Here is a 27844-nt window from a genome sequence, read left to right as displayed (position 1 = left end):
TTATGTGTCATAATAAAACAAGAGTCTTTAAAACGCTTCAAAAGTCAAGTTTTACACTGAGACATTTAAATGAAGAAAACGAGCCCTTTCCCCAAATCTACAACCTACAAGTTAAATGCACTGACCTGTCAGAATCTATGTAAAGAACAATTTTCTAATAAAAGACTGCTTTATCATAAGAAGCATCGTTCCAGGAAATTTCCTTTAATATTCTTATCTGTCACTTTCTATAAAAGTCTTTTTTAAATTAAAAAATCTGATGCTGAAAGCAGCAGAGATCTGAAGTGAGTATATTTAAATACATGTGGGTGATACACACAAGCATGTTCCTCCCAGATCTGCAGGAAGATGAAGCAATGTACGCAATGAATTAAAATGATTGTCACCTAGTGGATTCCGGACACAGGGCAGGCTTTAAGACCCAGCGATAGTATTTGTCTGGAGAGGAAATGTTGCTTTTTGACAGATGAGAGAAATCCCCTTAGTGTTGGCTGTGGGAAGAGAGAAGCGAAGTCAGTCACCTGGTGGTGAAGGCCAGTAAAACAGCGAAGCAGGAGGAAAATTTTTCTCTCCCTCTCTCTTTCTCTCCCTCTTTTTCTCTCCGTTGGATCCACCTCCTATTCCCTCAACTCTTTTAGCATAACCTTCAAAGGAGAACGTTCCCTTCTGACTTGATTATCTTCTTTTCCCCACTGAGAAAATACCTCTCAGCTACAAGACATTTTTTAAGTCTATGCAGGACTTCGGGGATTCTGTTATCTTGCCGGGGAAACTGATCATTGCTAATGCCTGGGACTGGAGCTAAATTACCTACCAGAGTAAGCCTGACGGAGGAAGCCTTTTATCATACACTCTTCTCTTCAGTTTGAACACATTTGCTTGAAATTTGCCGCATGATGCTGACCAGGGAAGCAGCTTTTTTTCTCGGGATGCAGCAATTCGCTGGGTTCTAAGCTTATTGCAGAAGAAGAAATAATCTTAAATAGAGTGGATTTTTTTTTCCTTTTTTCTTTTGGCCCCTGTTTCAATCGACTCAGCTGTGTTGCACCGCGGTAGAGATCACCTGTCACTAAATCTTTGAGGAAGTAAAATAAAGTGAATTATCATTATTATTTATTTATTTTCCTTATTTTTAACCCGGTGGAGGCGGCGTGACCACGGAGAATGAGACTGAGAGGAGCTGCCGGGGCTTGGAGGAGGATAAAGCTGAGTTTAAGCTGGAAACTAAAAGACTAGATTGTTTTTGGGTGCCACTCGCCCGGTTCCTCTCCACTTCGTTTAGTTGCGCTCCATGGACAGATCAACGAACCTGGACATTGAGGAGCTCAAGGTACGTGCGGGTCCGGGCGGGCTTCGCGGCCGCTTCTCGGCGCTCCCTGCTCTCCCCTCTCCTTCCCGCGGCTCCTCCAGCGGCGCGGAGTAGTTGGTGGTCCCGCGGGACGACGAGGGGGCGTTGGGGGGACGCGCACCCGGGCGCAGGCGCCCCTGCTGGGGCCGAGGACACGGAGGGTGGTTCTCCCGAGCCAGGCTGCACTCCCGGGCTGGGCGCCCTCCCCGCCTGCTCCTCCCGCCAGCGGCCACCCCGTCCTCCTCCTGGTCCGTGACGGCAGCATTTGGGGTGCAGACCCTGCGCCTCTTGCCGGCTCGTCTCCCCGGGGGGGGCAGCGGCACCAGCTCTGCCCGCTGTCGCCTGCTTTCCCAGCAAAGTTGTCCGAGCTGCGCCGCCACTTTGCCTCCTCTTCCCGGCTCCGATCCCGCCTGTGCCCCAGCCCGGCACGGGGACAGTGCATTTCCGCTCGGAGATTCGCGTGACAGAGGCATCTGCAACGACAGCCCGTTTTTATCCCAGAACTTCGTGAGACCCCTTTTCCCTCCCACCGCCCGCGGGCAGTGTTTCCTCCCGCAGTTGCAGTGCAGGGGCTGGAGAGGTACCCCCGCTGCCGGGGACGGCTAGCCTGCCCTAGCCCCAGGCGCGGGAGCAGGTCCGGGGACTCGGGCAGGGGGCGGGGAGGCGGGAGCCGGGCTGGTAGGGGCGGCATCTGCGGAGGCTCCGGCCGCACACGGTCTCCCACCAGCCTGGAGCCCCCCGCCGCTCCGCGGGTTCCCCGCGCCGCGCCCTCTCCCTCTGGGGTCCCCTGCTTGGCCGTGAGGGCCTGCCCGGAGGGAGCATCCGGGGTGACAACGCGCCCCTCTGCCTATGGGCACCTCTGCCTGCTTCCCTTCAAGAAAAAAAAATATATATATTTATATACACACAATAAATAAAAACTTTAAAAAACCAACAAACCACAAAATACTTTAAATGTCCCGCTCACCGTAAACGAAAAAGCGGGAAAGGGGGCGACACTGGAAGCACCTCTTTTATTGAAATCCTCCACCCTTCTTTACCCCTAGGCATTTGGTACGTTCTACTATTTCAGAGGTTCAGATGGATTCTGGCTTCTTTGATCAGTGAGAATGTTTAGGCACCCCCCCACCCGCTGGAGAAACGACGAATAGAGGTTTGCCCTGAAATGTCAAGGAAATGGGTTTATCCGACAAGCTAGGCAGGCTGCAAAATCCCCTGCAGAGCTCCAAAGCCTCTGTCTGCAGCCTGTCCTGTGCCCTGGCCAGGGGGCACGCAGGAGCCCAGTTCTCCAGGCGCCCCAGATTGCATAGACGGGGAAGGAAGGAGGGACAGAGAACAGTGGCGCCTGCCAGAATCGCCCTGCCACTGACTGTAGATGCAGTCCAGGACGGAGGGAGGACAGTGAGAAGACCTAGAACACCACTTCCACCGAAGACTGAGTTCCCTGGGCAAAGGGAAGTAGGGAGGAGGCAGATTTGATGCTTCGTTTAAAGTTGGCCAACAAGTTTCTGTGTTTTTGCCAAGATCATAGTCAGTAGACCTTGGCCTGGGCTAGAAGTTTCCTCTTATCTCTCTGCTCTACTCCGATAGGACACATTGCCTTTATGTTTGCAAAGATTCCCTACTTCTCTTTCCCAAGCATCCCAGTCTCTTGGGAGAAGGGGTAGGTTTTATCTGAGATGCGAAGAAGAATGTATGATAATGATTGTGATCTGTGTTTTATGCAGAGGTGGAGTATCCAGATTATTTTTTGGTTAACTTTAGGGTATGACACAGAAGAGAGCGTTCTGTTAAGAGAAATGGAAGGGAGAAATGATTTGGGGTGATTCTTTCCCCTGAAATCCCTTTAGTTTCCTAGCTTATCCCACTCTGAACCCCAGTGCCAATACATTGTTGTTTAAATCAGCAAAAGAGCAAACCCACTGGGGAAACTTATGTCTAGAATTAGTAGAAGATCTCAGCTTAATGTCACTACTCCTGCACAGATAATCCAGAGATCCTCATAGCCAGAGTGTACTGGACTTAGTGCTCTGGCAGCAGAGGGTAGGGAACTGGAAAGGTTTGGGCATGAGGGGGTATATTGGCAATGACTGACTGGGAAGAAATGAAGGCATGTTAGATACAAGGATCTATTGAGGTTGTTGAGAAATTATGTCAAGGACAAGCTACTTTTGAGGGTCAAAACTGGCAAGTGAGGAGATGTAGTCAAGCCTTATTAGAAAATGTTTGAGATCCTCCAGTTTTGGGAATAAATTTATGTTGGCAGTTTTGACTACACTTGTGGAATACGAAGGCTGTGGAATCCTTCTGAAATATATACAGTTTGTAGAGATGGATGCAGTGCGCGTGGAATAACTTGTCTAGATTTCTTGTTTTTAGCGGAGTTGGTTGGCTTGGTTTCCTAGACATTCCAGTTCAAGTTAGTCTCTGGTGGCTTCTTGCTGAAGAGCCTCCCGGTGTGATCAGTGGAGAGAGGGAAGAAAAAAGCTAGGATACTTGTTTTTGGCATTATTTGCATGTTTTGACTTTTCTTATCATCTAATAATGCTTACATTAAAACACATCCACACAGAACTTTGGTTTTTATGATGCTTTAAATATACAAAAAATGTTTACTGGGGTTTGATACATAAATAAATGTGCATAAAAGTATAAAAATATAGTTTAGCTTAGTTTTAGATGATCAGTGTCATTGTTAGGTGAAGCTGCTTACCTCAGGTTTTAAGAAAGAAAGATTCTGATAATTTATCTTTATTTGGGATAAACTATTTTCTCTTTGAGATTTTAACAACAATTTTTTTATTTTTTGCTGTGCTGGGTGTGCAAACATTGGTTTTTTAAAATGTGCTGTGCAGTGTCAATAGTGTTTTCTTTTGCAAGCTTTTAAACTAAAGATAAGCTCTAATTGTTAAGCTATTGCTGCCATTATCATTAAAACTAAACAATATGCATGTTAAAGGATTTATTTGATGGAAAACTGAAATACAGTTATGTGTGTAAAACTTGCTAATGAAGGTAAGTATGTTTCATCTTCTATTCTGCCCACAAACTCCTGATGAAACACATCAGTGTTGAAAAGGGAGAGAGTTCTCATCCAAAGAATGTGTGTGTTCTTTTCCCTTTGATCTCTGTTTCTCTCTCCAATGAATGTATAAACTTTACTCTGGATTTTGCCCTGGTGTTTACTTTAAAGAAGAAACATCAAAAAATCCAAAATATGGGTTGCTGCTTTGGAAATGTGGGTGTTAATGAATATTGATATTAGAAAAAGCCCCCTCCATCCTGGAGTATCTCTGAGTTATAGAGTACTGGGTGCCTTTTAGCAGTCGAGATTTAACTGCTAGCTTTAGCCTTTATTTTAGCTCCATCGTTGCTCTCTTTTAAACAACTGATCTTATGCACTGGAAATGAGATGACTAAGTTTTAGAGCTGACACTTTAAATTTTGCTTTTTGTAAGATTTACTCATAGGAGACATTGAGGCTGAATAAACAGTTATAATAAAGTCTATGACTTTGTTGATTCTTTTACTCATCTTTTAAAATATGGGTACTAATTCACCTGTATTAATTTGGCAATTAAGTCATGCTTTCAGATGCTAAGAATTTATTTGTGGATAATTGTTATTTGCTTTGAGATCAAAAATATAAAATACATCATGAGTATAATATAATTTTTTTCAGTCAAGTTAGATCCTAGATTTTATTTATTTATCTGTCAGGATTGTTCTGTTAGTGGGATGACTGGCTGGAAGTTAAATTAGTTTTTTTCTGCTAATTGCAGAACATGAACGGTATGCTTCTGGAATATTTTCTTAATTATTTTGCACGTTACAAAAATTACAAACTACATAGTTAATCTTGAGACACATAAAACAACTTTTCAATAAGGATAATCTTACTTATTTGAGTTTATTAAATGTAGTCCAGTCACTGTTGCTTCATTTTTCTCTGCTTAATTGAATCAACATTTCATCTACCAAGAACTTGAATCTTGCCCTAGATAGGTGAGGAAAAACCTTCCCTAAATAATATAATGAGGTCATTAAAAAAGTATTATATGGGTGAGAAATGATAATACAGCAAAAAATACATAGGTATTTAAACAAGAGATTGATTAAAAAATGCTGAGGTCTTAAAGCAATGTCATAGTACATTCATCTACAATTTAAATCAAATAAGAGAGTTGGCACTTAAAAGAATTCTATTTTTTTCTTTCTTTCTTTTTTTTTTTTTTTTGGTTTGTTTAATCAATAAGACACTCAGCCCAGGAGAGTCAAGCTTGCTGCAGTGTAGGAAGCTTTCTGATGAATCTAAGTAGGTGGTATTTTGTTATGTTAGTCATTCTATAGTGAAAAATAGTACTCTCTAACAAATGGCATATTTTTAGCAGCCTGCCTTATATATTCATTTCTTGGCTGAGAAAGATGAAACATATTTGTGAATACTGAATTATTTGACTTGTTTCACATCTAAAGGAATCATAACTTCTTTCCCTCTAGGTCTAGTTCCAATTCACTTTACAAAATAGCAACTAGTCACAAAGACTTAGAAACAGGTAACCTTAATTTGAAAAATTAATATCATTTGACATTGATAAACTACAACTGTATACATTTATGGGTTATACTGTGATGTTACTATACATCTATAATGTGGAAAAAATTAAAGGAAGCTAATTACTATATTAATCACATCACTCATTTTTTGTGCTGAGACATTTGAAATGTACCCTATTAGCTATTTTGAAATATATATATGTGTGTATATATGTATACACACATATATATGTATATATATACACACATATATATGTATATATATACACACATATATATGTATATATATACACACATATATATGTATATATATACACACATATATATATATATACACACACATATATATGTATATATATACACACACATATATACCCATATATATATAATCTTGAATTTTTAATATTTGGAAATAAAGTTGTTTAATTGAAGTTGAAATTCAAGTTACAGTAGGGAAACATCACTTATGCCATTAAGAGGGATGAGGGAACATACTTGATATGAGTGGAAAAAGAATTAAGAAAAATACATTTGTGGGAAGTTGGACAAATGACTATTTTAGAACTCTTCAGTGGTCTACTGTCATTACTTAGCATATGTTCCAGCCTACATACTGGCTATTACAGTTTTGCTGATCTCCAGAGTTTACCAATTGAAAATACATCAAATGTTGAAGGCCCAGTAAAAAAGAATATTTTAAGATTTATGAACTCAAAATCATAGCTACACGAGATGGCTTACTGCTATAAGATAATAAATCCACATCTGTTTTTGGGACATTTATGTAATATTTAGTGCGCTGTTTCTTATGCTGTCTCAGAATTTCAGCTAAAATACAATTTGGCAGAGCTTACAACTTTAAGTTACTAAGGAAAATGACCGTTTACTTTTGTTCAAATTCTCTATGAATTTTTGAGAATATGCATTTAAATTGGTAACTGTTTAAATGAGTAAATGCTTACATGTCAAGGTAAAGATTTGTGCATTTATTTGTTGAGAATTGTGCTTGGTTTGTGATAAAATTCTTAGCTTCTAAAACTCTCTGTGACTAGAAGTAAGCTACCACATTTTCTATAAACGTCATTTTAGGCCGGGCATGGTGGCTCACGCCTGTAATCCCAACACTTTGGAAGGCCAAGGCAGGTGGATCACTTGAGGCCAGGAGTTCAAGACCAGCCTGGCCAACACGGTGAAACCCTGTTTCTACTAAAAATACAAAAATTAGCAGAATGTGGTGGTGTGCTTCTGTACTCCCAGCTACTCGGGAGGTTGAGGCGAGAGAATTGCTTGAAGGTGGGAGGCGGAGGTTGCAGTGAGCTGACATCTTGCCACTGGACTCCAGCCTGGGTGACAGAGTGAGAACCTGTCTCCAAAAAAAAAAAAAAAAAAAAAAAAAAAAGAATATATTAACATCCAAAGTTTTTATTTTACTCAAAGTCTCTTCTTTTTCTTGGCAAATGTCTAGAAACATGGGTTTATCTATATTCTCAGTGAAACTGATGAGAGACTTCTATGCTAACCACAGAATGAGCAAATTTAAGGTTACCACCCCTCCAAGAGCATTATGTAGCCTCACATTCTAAAAATTAAAAATTGTTCCAAATTGCCTTGAGAGTTTTCTTGAGGCTCCTAAACAACATGTTTGTACGTTGACTGAAAAATATGATAAGCCACAATTAGATTTTAGAAAACTTTATACCACTTTGCTGGTATTAAATAGGTTATCTAGAGTGTTCTATGCCAAGTTGACATATGAAACCTTTAAAAATAGAGGATTTTAGCATCCAGCCAGAAAAGCTTTAATTATCATGGCAATGTCCATCAGGGAAACAGGGGCTAAAGCTTCAGCCTTAGAAGTTAATTCCAACAGTCACCCCACGCTAAAATGGAGCTCAGAAGCAGTTAGAATTCAGAAGCATGCAAAGTACTAAAGCTCACACTGTAAATCTAACAGATTGTAGTGTTTGAGGAAATTCATTTGTGCAGTGGAAAAGGTGCTGATCTGGTTAGAGTAGTACTTGGGAGACATTGTTCAAACCCTGGCTCTGCCGTCTACCAGTAGTGGCACCTTGGGGATGTCCCTCAAACCTTCTTGGCCAAGGGATTCTCAAGCATTGCACGGTGGGGATTAGATTTTTTGAAAGGGTTTTGTCATAATCATTTTTTAGCCACAGTTGAAGAATTTGTCCAATGTCTTCGAAACAACCTAACATTTAACTGCAGTGAAAGGGAAGTTTGGTTCAAGACAGTCTGAGGAATCTCTCCATACTTGCCTTTGGCCTCTGCAGTTGACTCTGGGACCATGGCAAGAACTGTAGACTGAAGAATGGAAGGTAAAAACCTCACAACCAGTTGATCTCGAATTGTCTTCCAGGGCTCAGAGTCTATGGCTCAAAAATGACGTTTTTGTATCTTCTTCAAAGGAAATTATTTTCACATTGATATAGTTTATATAGTTCCTTTCATTCTGCAAATAATTCTTCATTTGAACATCAAAACAAGATTTTCTGCTGAATATTATCTTCTCATTTTATGGGTACCAAAATGGAGACTCAGAAAAATCAAGTGAAATGCCTAGGATCACAAGGTTAACAGATAGTAGAATAAGAACTTAAATTCATGTCCTCTATTTCCAAATCCTGTGCTATTATACATAGGCCAAAATTCCAGGGAAATCTTAAAGAACGTCTGATGGTAGAGATTTTTCACTGAGTTTCTCTAATACTCTAATTTCCAAGAAGAGTGACAGTATTTGAGCTACCATCATAGTATTTAATCTTGTTGCAAAGTAGTGGTTCACATTACAGTTTTTTTTTTTTTTTTTAACTAGTATCCTTATTCATAGTGACTTATTTTAGTTTTGGGTCAAATTACCGTTGGTTGATATTTGTTGGTTATTTGCATAATGTTTCAGTGGACATGCCTCAACACTTCACATCTCTTCATGCACATTCCGGTTTACTTCAAAATAGTTAAAAATGCAAACTTTAAATCTATAAGAGCTAAGAGCCTACTAAATATTTGTCTTTGCTGGAGGCATGCAATGCTTTAATTACTAACTCACACATTATCATTATCTAACTTATTTCCACACATGTTTTTAAACTCACATCTTTCTTTAGAATGGCTAGAAAAATACATGTTATCTACCTAAGATAAAAGACCCTTTGATTCTTTCCATTCTTGGGTAGAAGCAACCAATTCAGCTGCCATGAGTGAGAACATTTTTGTGAAACATGATACAATAAATCAATGTCATGAATGGGAAAACGCTGTTATCATTGTGATTCCAAAGTCTGTGTTTACTCAGAGTATTTGAGGGCTTTTAAAATCCAAAACAGAAGGAGAAACTAATTCAAGGAAATAAATCGCTTACCTCAAGATTTCTTGAATCATGTTCTAGCCTTCAAACTCTCCCCCAACATGGGATGCATGAGAGAGAAATTCTATCTCTTCTTACTACTAGAATTAGTTGTACTCCTAAGCAACTGATTTACATTTAATTTTATAAATCTTTTCCACCATAAAATCAATAGTGTTTTTCTACTTTAAATTAGTTCCCCTTTACCTTAGGAACAGATTTGTGGTCCATCTCCAACAAATACCTGTATCTTTAATTCCTAGCCTCATAATATTTTTGACTTTTGAAATTATTATTATGCTTTCATAAAGAATTAGTGGTAATAAATGTTTATACAGTTAAAATTATTAAAATCCTTTTTAGATACTCTTAATTATTTTCATGTTTCAGTAGATGTGCCTCAGTATTTCACATCTCTTCTGAACAACTTATAACTATGCATTTTTTTTTATTTTTTGAGACGGAGTCTTGCTCTGTTGTCCAGGCTGGAGTATAGTGGCACGATCTCGGTTCACTACAACCTCTGCCTCCTGGGTTCAAGCGATTCTCCCACCTCAGCCTCCTGAATAGCTGGGATTACAGGCACCCGCCATCACGCCTGGCTGATTTTTGTATTTTTGTAGATACGGGTTTCACCATGTTGGCCAGGCTGGTCTTGAACTCCTGACCTCAGGTGATCCACCCGCCTTGGCCTCCCAAAGTGCTGGGATTACAGGTGTGAGCCACCATGCCCAGCCTGCATTTTTCAAAAATTTATCAAGAGCTACGAAGATTATAAAGCTTAACTGTGCTGTGAGTATCCAGTTTTTGTTTGCATGACTTCATTTGTCTACGATAGTTGTGTAATTGGTGAACTCGTGTGCCACAAAATGAAACCCACTATATACCTAAAGTAAAAGACTGATATTTAATACTTAGGTTAACACCTCTACCTGTTCTAAGGCATTCTGTCTTAAATGATTATTTTGTTATTGCTCTCAAATTTGGCCTTTGTAGTGAATCATCACCTGTATTTCTAAATCTCTGTATTTCTGTTGTCTGTTACTTTGGTCTAGGGCAGAGACATTATTTTAGAAAAAGTTAAAAATAAATGAGCTATTTTAATCAACATTGTGTTTAAAGTTTTCAAATCTATTTTATAAAAATCAATGTTTTCATCAGGTGCTTGTTCTAGGCAGCAGAGACAGTTACTTTTATATATTGTATTTCATCTCATCAAGTTTCTTAAAGTCGATGCCTCAGTCATAGTTCCATGAATAATCAGGTCTGTGCACAGTGTCGTGTCTTAATGATAAAGCTCCTCATTATTAAATCATCCCTGGGAGAAATTATGAACATTTAGTAATTACAGTGTGTGAAATACACAGGTGGATTAAGCTAAACATATTTTTGGCTTGTGGCAAGGACAACTGAAGATCTTTTAAGAGCTTCTGAGTCCAATTACAATACAAACCTGCTTTCATTTTATAAAGATGAATATATTACATACGTATTTGTTTCATTTATTTCCTAAAACATTAATAGCTCTTAATGTATAACAAATAAAAACACAACTGACTTTAAAATGTTTAACATCTGCAAGTATCGACTTTTTTTTCAAACATCTGTTCCATATTTCGACTCAAAGTGAATTTCAGAAACTTCTGGAAAGATACGATTTAAGCCATAGTAAAGTTTCAGCATTTTATGATAACATGCTGTCTCAAACAATTAAATAGTGCTGTATATTGGTTTGACATTCATAGACTTCTATAATTGTGAAAATTATCTGTGAACATGCTCAGAGTGTAATTTTTTGTCTTCTCAGTCTCAGCTTTCTGATGTTTAGTGAGATGCACCATCCATCTTATTTGTAAACTCTGTGCCTATTCAGAGTTGTGGAGTTGTACTTCAGTGTTTTGCAACATGTGCAATGCCATCAAAATCCAAACAATTGAAATCTCATTTTTTCCCGTTGTCTTATTGACGAACAGTGTCACAGTACGAATGAATAAAAATAATAAGAAAACACATCAACTACAATTTGAGAATGTTAACAGCAGTTTATAGCTTGAAAGAGAAAGAATGACTCCAAATAAATCAAAAATAAACAGAATAAACATTATGTTTCTACCCCAAAAGAACATTTGACTTAACTGATGTTGTTTCCTCTTTAAGTAATCTAATGTCTAAAGTTTACATTATAAGACGTGTGATTCATTGTGGTATTAGTTGGTGTAATGCTTAGAACTCTCTGGTATGTGCATGATTGAATTATTAGCAAGAATTTAACTTTCAAAATATTTTCTATGTATATGCATTATATGAATATTTACCTATTTGATCTTCCACTCTCAGAATCATTTAATAGCTCGTTTGTGTATGCCACGAGAAAAACACAAATTCTGTTTATACATAAAATTTGTATGGGATTTTGTCTATGGTATTTTTCTATTCCCTCTTTACATATACTCCATAGACATTTTTATCTACTCATGTGGTTTCTACTTTCACTTGCAGGGTGATGATGCCCGGTTATGTATGGGCACCTCCCACCTTTCTCTTGGGCTACATGCACACCTCTCCTATTTCCAGCAATCTGCTAGAAATCTTTACCTGGATGCTTTGCAGTCACCCTGATCTAACAAAATGGAGCACACCTTTCATTCTCTGTCAAGTGTGCCCCTCCTGTCGTATGTTCTTCGTCTTGTTTAGTATTTCACCATTCATTTTGTCATCCAAGCTGGAGCTCAGAAGATCGTTCTCTACTTATCCCTTGTCATCATTCCGTACATCCAACTGGTCATTAAGACCATCACACTGTATAGTCTGCTTTTTTCCTTCTGTTAGAACCCTAGACCAAGTCCTCACCTTTTCTAATCTGTTTTATCCTAAGACATATGTATGTATTTCTTGCAGTGAGGCTGGCCATATTATAGTGAATTCTACTGTTATGTAGCTCTAGTGTTCAGGGTGGGTTTGGAATTAACGTGAAGGGATTTATGTATTCTCTCTTAAAGTTTCACAAGTCATTTTAGAATAAGTTGGGAAAGAGTGGAAACTGGGACACCAAGGGTGGGCCTGATGCTGGATGCAGAGGGATTTAGAGGTCTCTAAAAATGCCTAAGGGCACCCTCAAAAATGAGAAAAAGATGGCTCCTGGAAGTTAAACTTCATAGTAGCTGCTGCTGATGATGACTAAAATGTTCAGTTTGGTGAAAAAAGAACCACAGATTATTTGGAGATAATAATGATCAATTTTGATTTTCTATCTTGATGAAATCTTTGAGTTACACTCTTGCGGAGCCATGAGTTATGCTTAACAATCTCCTTAGCTGATTTTCTGTATTTTTGACAGTTTGGTCAGATTTCTTATAGTCAAAAATATTATCTGCCTCTGGGAATTTGACAGCTCTGTCCCTGTGAGGTGGCCCAAAGACAGTATGCTTACACAGTGAGCCAGCTAAGTAAGTAGGGAGGTAGGTAGGTAGGTCCGAAGGATTTCAAGGAAGACAGGCCAAGATATTTGAATTTCTGAGCTGCATATTAGTACTCAATGTACTCAGTTTGTTAGTTACCTGTAAATATGTTGCTTAGACGTCTTTGTAATTATTTTATCCTTGTTATCTTAGTCTTTCAGTAGAAGTTACTTAGTCATCATAGCTGCGTTTAGCTGTTCTATGGGGGTTACAATGTGGACTAGTAAGAGTAAGGCAATGTAGATGTGCATAGATCAAAGCAGGCATGGGATTGCAAAATCTAACTAAAGATGCCTGGTGATAGCAATAGGTAGTGAGGTATTTCGTAAGAAAATGTAATTTGCAAAGTGGCAGATTCTAGGAGGCAAGACCTGTTCATGATTCTCCAGAGACACATTCTTCTTTATTAAGGAACCACCTGGTTTCCTGACACTTTTCATCTACTTTCCCTCTGTCCAGCCAGTCTCCAAGCAAGTCACATCCCATACTTTCAGATTTCCCTTTATGAATAAAATAATGTGTCCTTCACTTGTTTGAAATTCATTGTCATTTCCCATTGCTTACGTTATAATCCACACTCCGCAACACAATATACCATGATACAGAGCTTGCTAATTTCCAGGCTCTCTGGAAAAGAGTACCCTCTTTTGTACTTTTCATTATGTGAACACGTGCATGTGCGTGCACATACAGATACACACACTCAAACACGGTACCATAACTTCAATGAACGACTAAGTTCTACTTAGTCATGCCAGTTCCTCTCCCTCTGTTGTAATATTGCATAAGTACTTGTCTGAAATACATCTTCTTTTCTTATATATTTCCTACTTATTGACCAGTAAACTAGTCCTAGGAAGAGATAGATATATCTTTTTTTTTGTGTTCCTATACACTTTGGATATTTAGCTGCATTGTACGCTTTTAACTAAATTGCATTGTGGTAGGAAAAAAATGGCCTGCATAATACCAATCATTTGAAGTTTGTTGAAAATTGCTAAGGGGCCAGTATAAAGTAAATATTTGTACATATTCTGAGTTTCCTTGAAAAGAGTGTGTATGTTTTCACTTGTTGGGGATTAATTCCTATATATGTCCATTAGATTAAGTTTATTATTTATGCTGTTTTAATTGTTCATAATCTTTCTATTTTGTTTGTTTAAACTACAAATTAGAGATATGTTAAAATTTTGTTTAGATACTGCATTTATTTCTTTTTGTAGCTTTCTCAATGTTTGCCTTATATATTTGAGACTATGTTATAAGATACATATAAGTTTAAAATTATATTTTCCTGGTGAATTAAAACTTATAGGTGATGACTTTCTTCATCCCTGCTAATGATGTCTGCCATAAAGTTTATTTTGTCTGATTTTAATATAGCTATATCAGCTTTTACGAATATCACTATAGCATTATCCAGCTTTATTTTGGCTAGTTTTTCTCATAAGTATTCTTTTCATTCTTTTATTTTGAACCTTTTTGTATATTCAGATTTTAGATACATCTGGAAAGCAGCATATAGTTAGATTTTAGAAATCCGTTTGGATAATGCTTTGCCTATTTACTGCATTTAGCTTATTTACGTTTATTGTAATATCTAATATATTGGGTTTTATTTCTGGCATTTTAGTTCATGAGTTATGTTTAATCCCAGAAATTACTTCCCTTTTATTTGAGGTACGTATGGTAGTAGCAAACTCAGTTTTCTTGATAGTCTGATAAAGTCGTTTTCTTTCTCTAGCTTTTCAGAATTTTTTTCTGGGTATACAATTTTAGATGAACAGGTATTTTCTCTTAGGATATTAAAAGTATTACACTGTCTTGATTCTCATGTTGCAAATGAGAAACCAGATGTTAATCCCTTCTTTTAGTTTTTAATGTTCTTCAATTTTATTATAATGTGTCTTTAAAAAAATTATCCAGGTTGGTATTTTATGACTTTCCTGAATCTTTATGAAAGAAGAAAAATATACTCTGTTATAAATAGAGTTTATGTAAGAACTACCATACTGTCTTTTTAAAGAAGCTTTTTGGCTGGGCATGGTGGCTCACGCCTGTTATCCCAGCACTTTGGGAGGCGAAGGCAGGCAGATCACTTGAGGTCGGGAGTTTGAGACCAGCCTGGCCAGCACAGTGAAGCCCCGTTTCTACTAAAAATACAAAAAATTAGCTGGGTGTGGTTGCCCATGCCTGTAATCCCAGCTACTGGGAAGGCTGAGGCAGGAGAATCACTTGGACCCAGGAGGTGGAGGTTACAGTGAGCTGAGATTGCACCGTTGCACTCTGCCGAGTGAGACTCTGTCTCAATAAATAAATAAATAAATAAATAAAAATTTAAAAAGGAGCTTTTCGCTGGCAACTGCAACCCATAATGATTTTGCTATACTTTTTCTAGTTCTCGTTTTTTAAATACATATTCTGTAATGACTCCATACTATCTGAAATGTGCAAAATATAATTAGTAAAAACAATGAGGATTATGGATTGTCTATGTTTTATATATCTACTAATGTTCTCTACCAAATCATGGATCCAGGTTAGATATTTATTACATCCTTGTTAATATATATTTGGCAATATTTGGTGTCTGACCAGAATTTTAAATTGGTGGAAATAGCACCATCTCTTTTAGTCTTCTGTTTTGGTTACTGGATCAAATACAGAATTAAAACACACGTTAAATAATGAAGTAAATGGTAACAAGTTACTGGGACTAGTGATTTACTACATATTTCTAGGCTTTTTTATAAGGTTATTACCATGTGGTAGTCACACAAGGAGTCGTCTTTGTGTGAGGTGGGAGAATGTTCCTTTTGGATTTCTGAAGCCAACTTTTGAAGTGATATATACCAAAATATTGGGGAAGCTATGTTTTTGTAGCTGAGTTCTTACTGCAAACTTTCTATCATGTAGTTGATTCTGAGTCTTCCATTTTAGATAGTGCTTAGCTTAGGGAGAAATTTCTTTTTATTTTCCGTATCTTTGGTGTTGGGTTTCAGAAACGGATGACAGTAAACCAAGTTTATTTCAATTTCAGATTATCCAGAGACTATTCGGTTCTTAGGCATCATAAGGTATGCTTTAAGGGTTGGTAAAATAGAAAGCAGCCCATTTAATATGATTTAAGATTCTCTCATCTCCTTACCATCTGGAAAAATATTTCCCAAATTGTCTGAAACTTCCATTATTTCAATCAGTTTTTGAATTAAAACAGTGGTTCTCAAACTATGCTTTCATGAAACTCATGCAATTTGTAACTAAAATTGAATGTTGGCAATTATCAGTTTTACATTTACTTTCCATTTGTTGTCTTTAATTGTTAGTGAGTACTATTGCTTCTCTGTGCAAAATAAGGTTTCTTTCTTATTTAGTCACACACACACACACCCACACATGCACGCATACACACACACACAGACACACACACACACTCTGTGTTTAAGCTTGATAAATGAAAGTTTTGGAAGCCATAAAGAGCATCATGACTTCTAAGACCTTGACCAGCCAAGCAGTTTGGGATGTATAAAAACAAAAACAAAAACTCTCATAAATATAATTATTTACCACAAATGCAAAATGAAGGTGCTAAAATAAATGATTGTGAAAAATTCCTTCTAATTCTCTGATAGACAACTACTGGTAAAAGCTAATACATTAAATCATTTGTAAGCATTAATATGTAAGCACTAATTGATTTATCAGATTTGCTAGCCAAGCAGGTCCTTCCAGGGGTGTTTTTTTTTCATAGGCAGGAATATTTTCCATGACAGAAAAACTGGAAGTGCCTCCCAGTTAAGCCTTGTCATTAATGCTGGACTCTTGAAAACTATGTTTTAACTTCTTGAGTTGGGCTACTTAGCCATAACTGCTTGGGGGATGGTGAAATGCCTGACCCAAGTTGGACTAGTGAGATTCTCTCTCCCTGGAATATGGATGACATAATCTAATTTTAACCTTATTGGATCCAATATCCTATATTTTAAGGCAAATACTTTTTATTTAGCCCCCTTTAGAATATAAAATGCTTTGATAATATAACTTGCACATAATTTTTACAAAGCCCTCTTTTGGATTCTCTTTTAAATGCTTTCATAGTCTAACCAACTTACATATAATTTTGAAAATGTTACGTAATTACGAAGGAGAAGTAAAAGTGAATAAGAGGAAATAATTTTATGATGTAATTCTATGCATTTTGAAATGTAAGTGCTAGGACACAGGGAATGCAAAAGCTACAATTGAAGACTCAGACAGAGATAACGTTGTGTGGGCCATTCAGATTCCTGCAGAGTGTTCCACATGGTGACATGGTATTTTTTGAAGTACTGAGCAACTCCTGGTAACTTCTGAACAAAACGAAATGCAGTGTTTCTCTCCTTTTACACAAAGGTTGTATTCCTGGACAATCAGTTACTTGTGCAAAGATGAGTTAAATTTTGTTTAAAAAAAAGTGTAAAATGGACTTAGGTTTCGGGCAGAGTCGTCGACAACTATTCCACACATTGATGGGTTTTCAGCATCTCGGGATTCTTCCTACTGCATAACAGTAGGAATCCTTCAAGTCACCATGACACCAAAAGTGTCTTCACAGATTTCAAATATTCATCCTAGGAAGGCAGTGTCACCCCTGCTGGAATTTTTGAACTAGCCTATGATAGGATAGACCTGGTTTATAGTGTTGCTAGAATTTTCAGTGAAAATTTGGAAACTAATCTTTTAGTTCACCAAGTGCGGTACACAGCTGTGGCCACCTGCTGCTGAAGAAGAATGAGGCAGATCAGAGATGAGAGAAAGAGTTCTGTTCTTTCTAGGATCCCGTGCTATTCACCTGAAAATAAATCTTACTCATTAGCCCTCTTCAACCTCCCACTCCCCCACTCCCATGTTAGTTTAGTTTGATTTATTTCATTTGCAGTTAAGTGTATTTTAATACACCCTTCTTCGCAAATCCAGGGGAACTTTGGGCTTTTCATGTTGATTTTGACTTCTTAGAGTAAATGTAATTATTTGCTTATGTAATTTTCTTTTCTTTTTTAAGTTCTAGGGTACAAGTGAACAACATGCAGTTTTGTTACATAGGTATACATGTGCCATGTTGGTTTGCTGAACCCATTAACTTGTCCTTTACATTAGGTATTTCTTCTAATGCTATCCCTCCCCCTATACCCTACCCGACGACCGGCCCCTGTGTGTGATGTTCCCCATCCTGTGTCCAAGTATTCTCATTGTTCAATTCCCACCCATGAGTGAGAACGTGTGGTGTTTGGTTTTCTGTACTTGTGATAGTTTGCTCAGAATGATGGTTTCCTGCTTCATCCATGTCCCTGCAGAGGACATGAACTCATCCTTTTTTATGGCTGCATAGTATTCCGTGGTGTATATGTGCCACATTTTCTTAATCCAGTTTATCACTGATGGACATTTGGGTTGGTTCCAAATCTTTGCTATTGTAAATAGTGCTGCAATAAACGTACGTATGCATGTGTCTTTATAGTAGAATGATTTATAATCCTTTGGGTATATATCCAGTAATGGCATCATGGGGTCAAATGGTATTTCCAGTTCTAGATCCTTGAGGAATCGACACACTGTCTTCCACAATGGTTGAACTAGTTTATGTAATTTTCTAAGAGTTCCTACTCTAGTTGAGTCTAAATCGTCCTGAAACTGGATGCTTCAGGATCCTCTTATCTCTGATTTTAATCAGAATTGCCCAAGCAGTTAGAAATGGGGCAAGGCAGGGTGTCATTTGCAAGGGCCTGGAGCTTTGTGTCTCCACTTTCTTTTTCATTCCAGTGAGCCATTGTTGTGGGTAACCAATATCAAGAAAACATGCTTACTATTATGTCTCTGATTCTTACACTTAATGGAATAAGACTAGATAGCAGGAAGTTTGGAGTAAGGAACTGATGTATATAAACGTCAGTTTGTCCAAAGAGAGCTACAAAACTGACTTTTGAAGTACTACTTCCACATCTATTAATGACCTCAAAAACTTTTGGTTTTAGTATATTGTTTAGACTATGTTGAGGAAAGTGCTTTTTTTCTATTATTTCATTTGTTAAGTGTGCTTGTAGGCAGTGGTATTTTTAATTTGTTCTTGAAATTATTTTAAGATCCATATCTGTTAGTTATATGTATATTATAGATCCAAGCATTTCAAAGGCATTGTTAGAACAATTTGTGTACCATTTTTAAGAATTATGTTTAACAAATGAGTATCTGCTTTTCTCTATTCTTTTTACAACTACCATCAAAGTATTTTTACACTTTTTTGTTTATTTTATCTCAAGCAGCTAAAAACAGTGCTTTACACACTATAGGCACTTCAGGAATATTTGTTGAACTAATTCACCTTTGAATGAAAGTTGCTTTGGAAAACTGGTCTCACTGCTATTTCGCCTTCAAATTCATAATGAGACATAAGTGAGTAGGTGATTGGGAATGATCTGTATGCCTGGCACAAAATCTCTCCTCAGTTAAACCTCCTGTTTCCTTCTGTATTCACTTAGATGAGGTGAATAGTAGCATTCCGGTAAATATCTCAGCTACTCAGTATCCAAAGACCACTTCTGCTATTGAATAATAAAATTAATGGGATACGAACAGTGTACTGCATCCTGAGATAAAGTTCCCATCATAGTCTGGGATGAAATTCCCATCATAGACATAAAAGAAAAAACACACCTTTCTCAGATGACCATTCTATTGAGTTGGGCATTTCTGATTTTTGACCAACGAATAATAGGAAATAACTGATAGTTTATGAAAGCAGAAGATGCAGTTGATATATCTTATACATCAACATGTATGGATTATATTGACTCAGCAATGTATTTTAACTGAGCACAGTCAAGATTGTGTTTACATTTTATACAAATCACATACTTATATGTATATATGTGAACAAACACAAGAGAAAGGAAAGTATAGTATCATGAGAGTAATCCACATGTATGATCCCTGAGAGACTTGAATTCAAGGAATGTTAAACTCTGAAAAGAAATGAATTTAAATCATGATTAATAAATAAACATGATATGCCAAGTATCTTGTAAAAAAGTACTCAATATGTAGTTATTGAATATAATTTGATTTGAGTAGAAAAGCTCTTTATCTTCCTAATCGTGGAGAGTGCAGGGTAAAACGATTTACAGCGTGTTTGTTGGAGGAGAAAACGAATGTAATCTAACGATCTTTGAGAACCCAGTGATCGCTCATTCTCTTTGTTCAGCTTTGGCACCACATAGACAAGGATTCATTTTCAGCGCCACTTGTGGGCTGTGTGACCTTGGGCAAGTGATTTAACTTTACTAAATGTCGATTCCCTCAAATGGTAAAATGAGATTAATAATTGTACCTACTGCATATAGATTGTGAGACTGTAATAGGATAGTTATGTGGGTACAGTCATCAATGTTTCACACAGAACTATCCATCCATGCGTCAATTATTACTCAGTTATTGTTAATATGTTCATGAGGGCTGGTGAAATGAGTGAAACATGATTGGGCTGTAAAAAAACGAGTGTACTCATGTGGGTACACTAGGAAGAAAAGCTGATAAACTGGCTGCAAGAAACAGTATTGGTAGGTGGCCATGTTAAAATCTGTCCTGGGATGAGACTAGAGTGTTGGTCTTTGCATGGATGTATGTTAGAACTAAATGTAAGTGCTTGAGTTTAATAATATCAAAAGCTCTCCAAAGGTTCTTAACTGCCTAAAGGCAGCTTTTAATTATAAACACTGAGAAAAGTCAATCAGCCTACACCTAAAAATATGCATTGGGATGTGTTCTGCATGCATTAAAACCTAATTTCACATCTCACCAAGTTTAACTACTTTTTTGCTAAACTAGTCTCAGGTTCTGGGTATTTGATTTATAATAGGGCAATAGGCTCTTTTATATAGGATTCTTTTAAATAACTCTTCCATCTCTTTGTATATATGCTTTCAGAAATGTTGATTCTTTGAGATATTTAAAAATACAAAGTCTTTCATGAGAAACTTAAAAAAGTTACCCACTAAAAATAAGTTTCCTCTCAACCCACAAAGAAAGAAAAATTTAATAGAATAGAAAATCACAATTTTATTAAAATACATGTATTTTATGTAAATGGGCTATATTTTACATAGAATTTATTGCATGTATGTTTACCGAAGGAATCTCCGCCTCCCAGGGTGAAGTAATTCTCCTACCTCGGCCTCCCCAGCAGCTGGGATTACAAGCACACGCCACCCCGTTTGGCAAATTTTTGTATTTTAGTAGAGATGGGGTTTCACCATTTGGCCAGCCTGGTCTCTAACTCCTCACCTCAAGTGATCCGTCCAACTCAGCCTCCCAAAGTGCTGGGATTATAGGCATGAATGCCACGCACAGCCAGAGCCCTAGTTTCTTAAGTCTTATTGCTATCACATTGCTTTGCTTGAAGACTATACAGGAGAATTTCATTTTCTAATTTGTATAAGTAGATAGGCTAGTTCATTTGCCTATGCTAATATTTCAAAATGCTAAGTAGAAAACTCAGTGCATGCAAGTCAGGAAAACAAAGAAAAGGCACGCCAGTCTCGTCCCTTCCACGTTTTTAAGTATGCAAATTGGGACAAGGGGGGGCAAGAATCTTGGTTATAACCCTCCTAGATTGGTATAATTCATCCTTTCAAAGGTCCAGCTTTCTGGTTATAGAACTCAAACCAAAACGATCACTGAAATTTCAGGAAAAAAAAAAAAAAGAGGTATTTTTGTTAGTTCAATTCTTTTTTTTTTTTTTTGAGACGGAGTCTCGCTGTGTCTCCCAGGTTGGAGTGCGGTGGCGCAATCTCGACTCACTGCAAGCTCCGCCTCCCGGGTTCACGCCATTCTCCTGCCTCAGCCTCCCAAGTAGCTGGGACTACAGGCGCCCGCCAACACGCCCGGCTAATTTTTTGTATTTTTAGTAGAAACGGGGTTTCACCGTGTTAGCCAAGATGGTCTCGATCTCCTGACCTCGTGATCCGCCCGCCTCGGCCTCCCAAAGTGCTGGGATTACAGGCGTGAGCCACCGCGCCCGGCCAGTTCAATTCTTAACTCTACTCTGTGGGGTTAATATTAGCTGTCGGAATGCTTACTTTTTGATCCTAACAATTTTTTTTTTTTTAAGAATATAAGCGCATAAGCAGGACATGATACCTGAAAAGTCAAGAGCATCTATCCATTCCCCTGAAAGATTGTCTTCAATATGATGGTAAGATTCTTTACCCTTTAATCTTCTCTTCTACCCTAATCCCATGTGCAGAAGCAACGATACCCAAAAATCTCTCTATAACTCTTTTGTGGCCTGGGATAAAAGGAAATAGCTCAAGAAGTGAAGAGTTTTATTCTCTCCTAATTCTAGTCTGTTTTATTCTCTCCTAATTCTAGTCTTCTGTTTGTAACTCCATCACTGCTGCAGCTGCAGCTACTATGACCAAATTTAATGCTTGTATTTCTTTAAAATACTTGCCCTTTAGAAGATTCCATTCCAGGAATATAAAGTAACAAGATGCTTTCCATATTTTCTTTAATAGTGAGTTCATAGCAATAAGGATATCTATATAGTTCTCTTGACAGTTTCCTGGGAATTCTGTATATTTATACACAACTTGTACAGGGTCTTTGTTACGTCCAACATCCTTTAGAAAGAATAAGCTGGCCAGGTGCGGTGGCTCATGCCTGTAATCCCAGCACTTTGGGAGCCCCAGGTGGGCAGATCATGAGGTCAGGAGATCGAGACCATCCTGGCGAACACGGTGAAACTCCGTCTCTACTAAAAATATAAAAAAGTTAGCCAGGCGTGGTGGTGCGTGCCTGTAGTCCCAGCTACTCGGGAGGCTGAGGCAGAAGAATGGCGTGAACCCAGGAGGCGGAGCTTGCCTTGAGCCGAGATCGTGCCGCTGCACTCCAGCCTGGATGACAGAGCAACACCGTCTCAAAAAAAAAAAAAAAAGAAAAAAAAAGAATAAGCTAAAATGATACTTAAAACATCCTTTTTTCTTGAAATGAGAAGTGCCTTTGCTTTCAACCATATCCCCAGAGAATGCAATTAGTGGCTCTGGCAGATGTTAATAGTAATGGGTATCAGAGTAGATGGGGCCACACTTGAGATGTTCTGGATGCTGCTCTTCTGAATTAGCTCAATTTTCTCCTAAATGACAAAGAAATATTAAAGATACACTGTTGATGAGGAAAGTGTCAGGCAACCAACAAGGATGTACTTCCAATATTCAAACAGAATGCAGGAAAAATGCATTCCAGAAGTTGATGTTTCTGTCTTCGGATTAAAGTTTGTACTGTCTCATCACATTATATCTTTGTTTGCATACAGGCTGCCAAAGAATTTTACTTTAAAAATATGTTTTGTCAGTCTATTATCAATGAAAGAACATATAGGACTTTAATTGTAACTCTTAGAGGTTTATTACTATTCCAGAGCTCTTTAACAACTGATCAGTTTGGCAGGGTCAGACTGCCTTAGCAAAAGTTTCAGTTCAGCTTGTCTTGGCAATGAAGTTTTGTAATTTGGACTAGGAAAGATTGTATTTACTTCTCCCCTTGTGCTAAAAATAGCCCACAGCAACCTAAAAAATGTCTTACCTCCAGCTGGCCCTGATCATCCTGAGCTAATCTTTAAGTGGCAAATGCAACTATAAACACCTATAGGCATTGCTAGATAGACAGATGTAGGTGTGTGTATGTTCCAGACAGAAATCTAAAATTGAGACTTCCCCGAAGGAAGTAAAACAGTGCCTGTAAAAATATGAAGTTCAGCAAGATTTTGATTGTTTATGTTATATTCAGATAATGGAATTTTTCTGAAAGGTTTTTTCTTCTTGCGTATACCAAATGCAGTGCATTTTAGGAAAAACGTTTTAGAGGCACCCTACTAGAACTACTTTAATAAAGTGAAATATTCATAAAGTGAAATATTCATATTAATATCTTGAAGAGCAATAATTATCTTTGTAACTGTGATATATCTAGTTTAATGCCACAGGATGCCACAGTTTACTTCAGTTAACTAAGAGGCATATAAACTAATTTCTTGTACTGTTTTACATATTCAGTAATCTACATGATCATTACTTAAAGTTGAAAAGAGGGAGTTGTTTCAAGATTAAATGTTAAAAGATGCAAACTATCCTGCTCATTTAATTAAAGAAGCATGCAGATGAGTGTGTGGGAAGAATATCAACCTTAACATTGTGTGTTATACATAGTATCCTCCACTAGTTTTCATCACAGTCTCATTATCTGCAACTTCGCTTTTCTGTCTAAGTGAAAGAACACCTGCTCTTCATTTCTTACTGAGTTTGCGGTTTTCATTTGCTCTGGTAACATCTCTAATGACCAGTTGCCAAATTATATCCTTAAAATTGCACCATCAGCGGCCTAGATAGGCAATTATTTTTGAAAGAAGAAGGTAAGTCAAAGTGTTCAGAATTTGAGTCTGAGGTTTCTTAAATATGACCTCTGTGAGGAATATGCCTCCCTTAGGAAGATAAATTGTAACGTGAGCTCCCCACGATTCAGGGAACTGCCTGAGATTGCACAGGAAGATGTGCATGTCTAGCATGACAAAATATTCTGACAAAACCTAAGAAGCAATTAGAAACAGTGCAGAGGTTTCAGATTTCAACTCTAACTTTGATTAGCTAGTATACTAGATATTATATAAGTGATTTATATGCATAGACACATTAAAGTTGGATGAGTTAAAATTAAAACAGTCAAATAAACCTCAGTGAATGTGAATTTTTAGGACATTAAATAAAAGCAGCAGTGTTGGGATTTTAGAAACTCCTATAAAGTGAAACACTGTTTAAAGTGATTTAAATAATACATATATTTGTATGCTTTTCAGGCTGTTTTGCATGTTCCTTTAAAACAAACCAAAAATCAAACTTTCTGCTTAGTTATCGTGACAGTATTTTGTAATTGTTTAAAAAAAGAAAATAATTTTATATTATGGATCATTCTATTAGAATAAATATTTCAATGCCACTTTTGGTGCCTAACTTATTATTATATAAAAATTGATGTTTTTTTTCACATGGCTGATCATCAGAGAACATTTCATTATACTAGAATAAAAATTATGAAAGGCTAAAGTGAATATACAAAAGCTTCTATAAGTTAATGAAATAGGAATGCATTTTAAAATAAAATAATAACTTAGGCAAGTTTAAAATTATTTGTATTCTGCAAGGTCAAAGAGTACAGCTGAACCCCAAAATAAGTATAATTTGATGTTGTTAATAACTATTCATAGCTGCAAAGCTTAGAATTGTGGTTTTTTAAAAAGAGAAATATGGTCCTATGGGAAAATTAGAACATATTCTCCTCCTTTTATTAAGGAGTATTCTAGTAATTATAAATTACAAGTTTACCATCTTCTCAAGACATAAAACAGTATTATATCTAGTAGAAGGATAAGTTAATGGGGTTTATGTTAAATATCTTTTCACTTTTTTGCTACCTTAAGTCTGTGAAAATTATTTATTTTCAAATGTAGAGAGATTTCTATATTTCATTAAATTTATAAATCTATGTAGGAATGTGGCACTTTAGATATCTTATAAAAGCAATTAGGATTTGTTTCTTTTGTTTTTGTAGACTGATAATGCATAGCAAATAGAAAGATACTAGACAGGTTTTTAATATTTAATATAATTATTGATACTAAAAAGCCTATACTAGAAAAATCATTTTTTTCTCAAATATACATCTTTTTTATTTGGCTTTTTAATGTTTCACATATAGAAACATTGAATTTTTTCTGCAGTAAGTTTAGGTAATATTTTTCTATATAATTACCCAAAGGGAAAAAAATTTTTTGTGTATATTTTACTTCTGTTAGTTGTTACTTTTTATAAAAATCAAAACCTCTAGAAGATACTTAACAAATAATTTGAGGGGTAGGATTACTCTTGTTGCAATTATAAAGTTTAAACCTTAAGAACTACTAGACTTTAATTTTCCTTCAACTTTATGTGAATTTATCTTTGATTAAAAGACAATTATTGAAAAATGCATTTAGTATACAATTATGCTTGTCTGACAGAATCTGTTTTCCAACCTTCCCCTTTATGTCGCCCCTCAAGAGTGAAAATATGGTATTAAATGCTTTTGTGCATTTAGTTAAATTGTTAATTTTATCACTTTTCATTCATTAGAATTTTGTTTTATGATGTTAAGCAGAAACATTAAGAGGTAAATGTCTACAGTGAGTTGTCATGCTTTTCATTTCAGCAGATCTGTGATCAGTTATATTCATTACCCCAAAGATAGAAGGTTAATACTGTCTCCTTTTTAAAGTAATGATGTTGAAGTCTTTTTAGTATGTTTTAATATATTCCCATTTCCAGCTGTGGGTGGTTCTTTAGTACTTTGAGAAAATATGTCTAAAATAATCATGTTTATCGGCTGTGTAGATTTACCAGTCAAAATTCTGCTTTACCTCTAAGGACTTCACAAGCCTATTAACTAAGATGCCAAAACAGTTTTGTTCTTTTATCTCTAAGTTCATCAGGTCTTCCTAATGAAGCCTCTATATTCAAAATCATTGACAGATAACATATTATTCCAGCTGTAGCCAAGGCTCTCAGTCTACAGAATATATACTGAAATGGTTAGAAAGTGGCAAATTAAATTCAAAAGATACTATCAAGGAAATAATTCCCCAAGTTATTTTAAAAGGAGAAGCCAAACAATCCTAAACCACTCTGCAAGACGCCTTGAAACGAATAACATAAGAATCTAAACTCCTAGGATTTTTTAAAAAATGTTGGGCTGATCACAAAATTAAAATGATCAAGCAGAGTGAATCCACCAGTGTGTGGCTTCAAAAGGATTTTCCTCATGTATATTTCTGTGCAAAACAGTCTCTTCTTGAAATGAATTGGCCAGTGTTGGTGTAGGATTGAGTAGCTAAATCATTATAAGAACAACTCAAATTAAGAACAATGAGCCTTAAGAGATTTAAGGAGCTCCTTGAGAACAGGAAACCTAGAACTAATTTTGAACATATTGTTATTTAGGCATCCATGCAGTCGTTTCTTGAGATCCCATAGTCAGTGTAGGAGAAACTTTAAAGATTTTTGCATCTTTTCTATTCACGAACGTCTGAGTATTGTGAGCAACTTGACTAATGTAGACACTCAAAACCTTATCTGATAACATTTCATTTGTTCCCTTTCTTAATCAGTCTGACTTTTGTTCAGTATTCAAGTTAAACTTTGAATTCTCATGTAACTAGAAACCTTATTCCAAAAGTGAACCCTAATCAAAGACATTTCCAGAAAAAGATGAGTTTCCAGTTATTTACAAAATGGAATTTGGATGCCTATATAATTCATCCTACTAAAAAATCAGTCTGTTTTATGATAATTTGGTCAAGCTGATGAACAGTAGTTATTAGAAGGGGAGAGGTTGAAGATATAAGAATATTGGGAAATAATTACTAGAACCAGTCCCATTCATAGGCGGGCGATAATAGGATCTAGAGAACTAGTTTAGAGATGATCACATAGAAGAAGGTATGATATTGTTTTCCAGTGAAAAGGAAGAAAGGAAGAGTGGAGGTGCAGGTTAATATGTAGTCGGTGTGGCAAGACACAGAAGGGGTTCCTATCTGAGACCTTCTCTTTTGACTGTTGCATTGGAGGCAGGTCTTTAGCACAGAATGAAGGGATGGTTGGTTGGGTAGATAATGAAGGATAGTAGGAGGTTCATGGGAGGTGGCAGATAATGTGAAATAGTTGTATGGACAATGAGAAAAAGAATAGACTTCAAAAACACAGAAAGCACATTGGGAAAGGTAAAGGAGTCTGATTTAATTGTGAATTGAAGCCTACCCTAGAGTGAGAAAAGTAAAGGACTTTTTTTTTTTAGGCAACCAGTAGTGTCTGTTACTTGTGGTGGCCAAGGATAAGACAAACTTGAAGTATGTGAGTATGTATTATATTCTGTCTGTTGATATCTGTAGGTTCTGGAATTCTTTTTATTAACCCCTAGATATCAACATATAGAATATCTGTGTAGGTATAGATACATCAATATCTAGATATAGCTATATATATCTATATCTATATCTATCTATAT

At 36.8% G+C, this 27844-nt stretch overlaps 1 protein-coding gene across 4 annotated transcripts in view; it reads left to right on the top strand.

The window, feature by feature from the left end:
• The window catches only part of SGCZ (sarcoglycan zeta), a 1153587-nt gene continuing 1126226 nt past the window's right edge, over nucleotides 484–27844 (top strand). For all 4 annotated transcript variants that reach the window (NM_001322881.2, NM_001322879.2, NM_001322880.2 and 1 more), the window contains exon 1: nucleotides 484–1330. Coding sequence is in view for 3 of the 4 variants with exons in the window: in NM_001322879.2 (NP_001309808.1) it covers nucleotides 1292–1330 (39 nt within the window). In the remaining variant the exon portion in view is untranslated. The remainder of the gene's footprint in view (nucleotides 1331–27844) is intronic.

This window comes from Homo sapiens, chromosome 8, assembly GCF_000001405.40.
Source record: "Homo sapiens chromosome 8, GRCh38.p14 Primary Assembly".
NCBI classification, from domain to species: Eukaryota; Metazoa; Chordata; class Mammalia; order Primates; family Hominidae; genus Homo; species Homo sapiens.
This window is presented reverse-complemented; position numbering and strand designations above follow the sequence as displayed.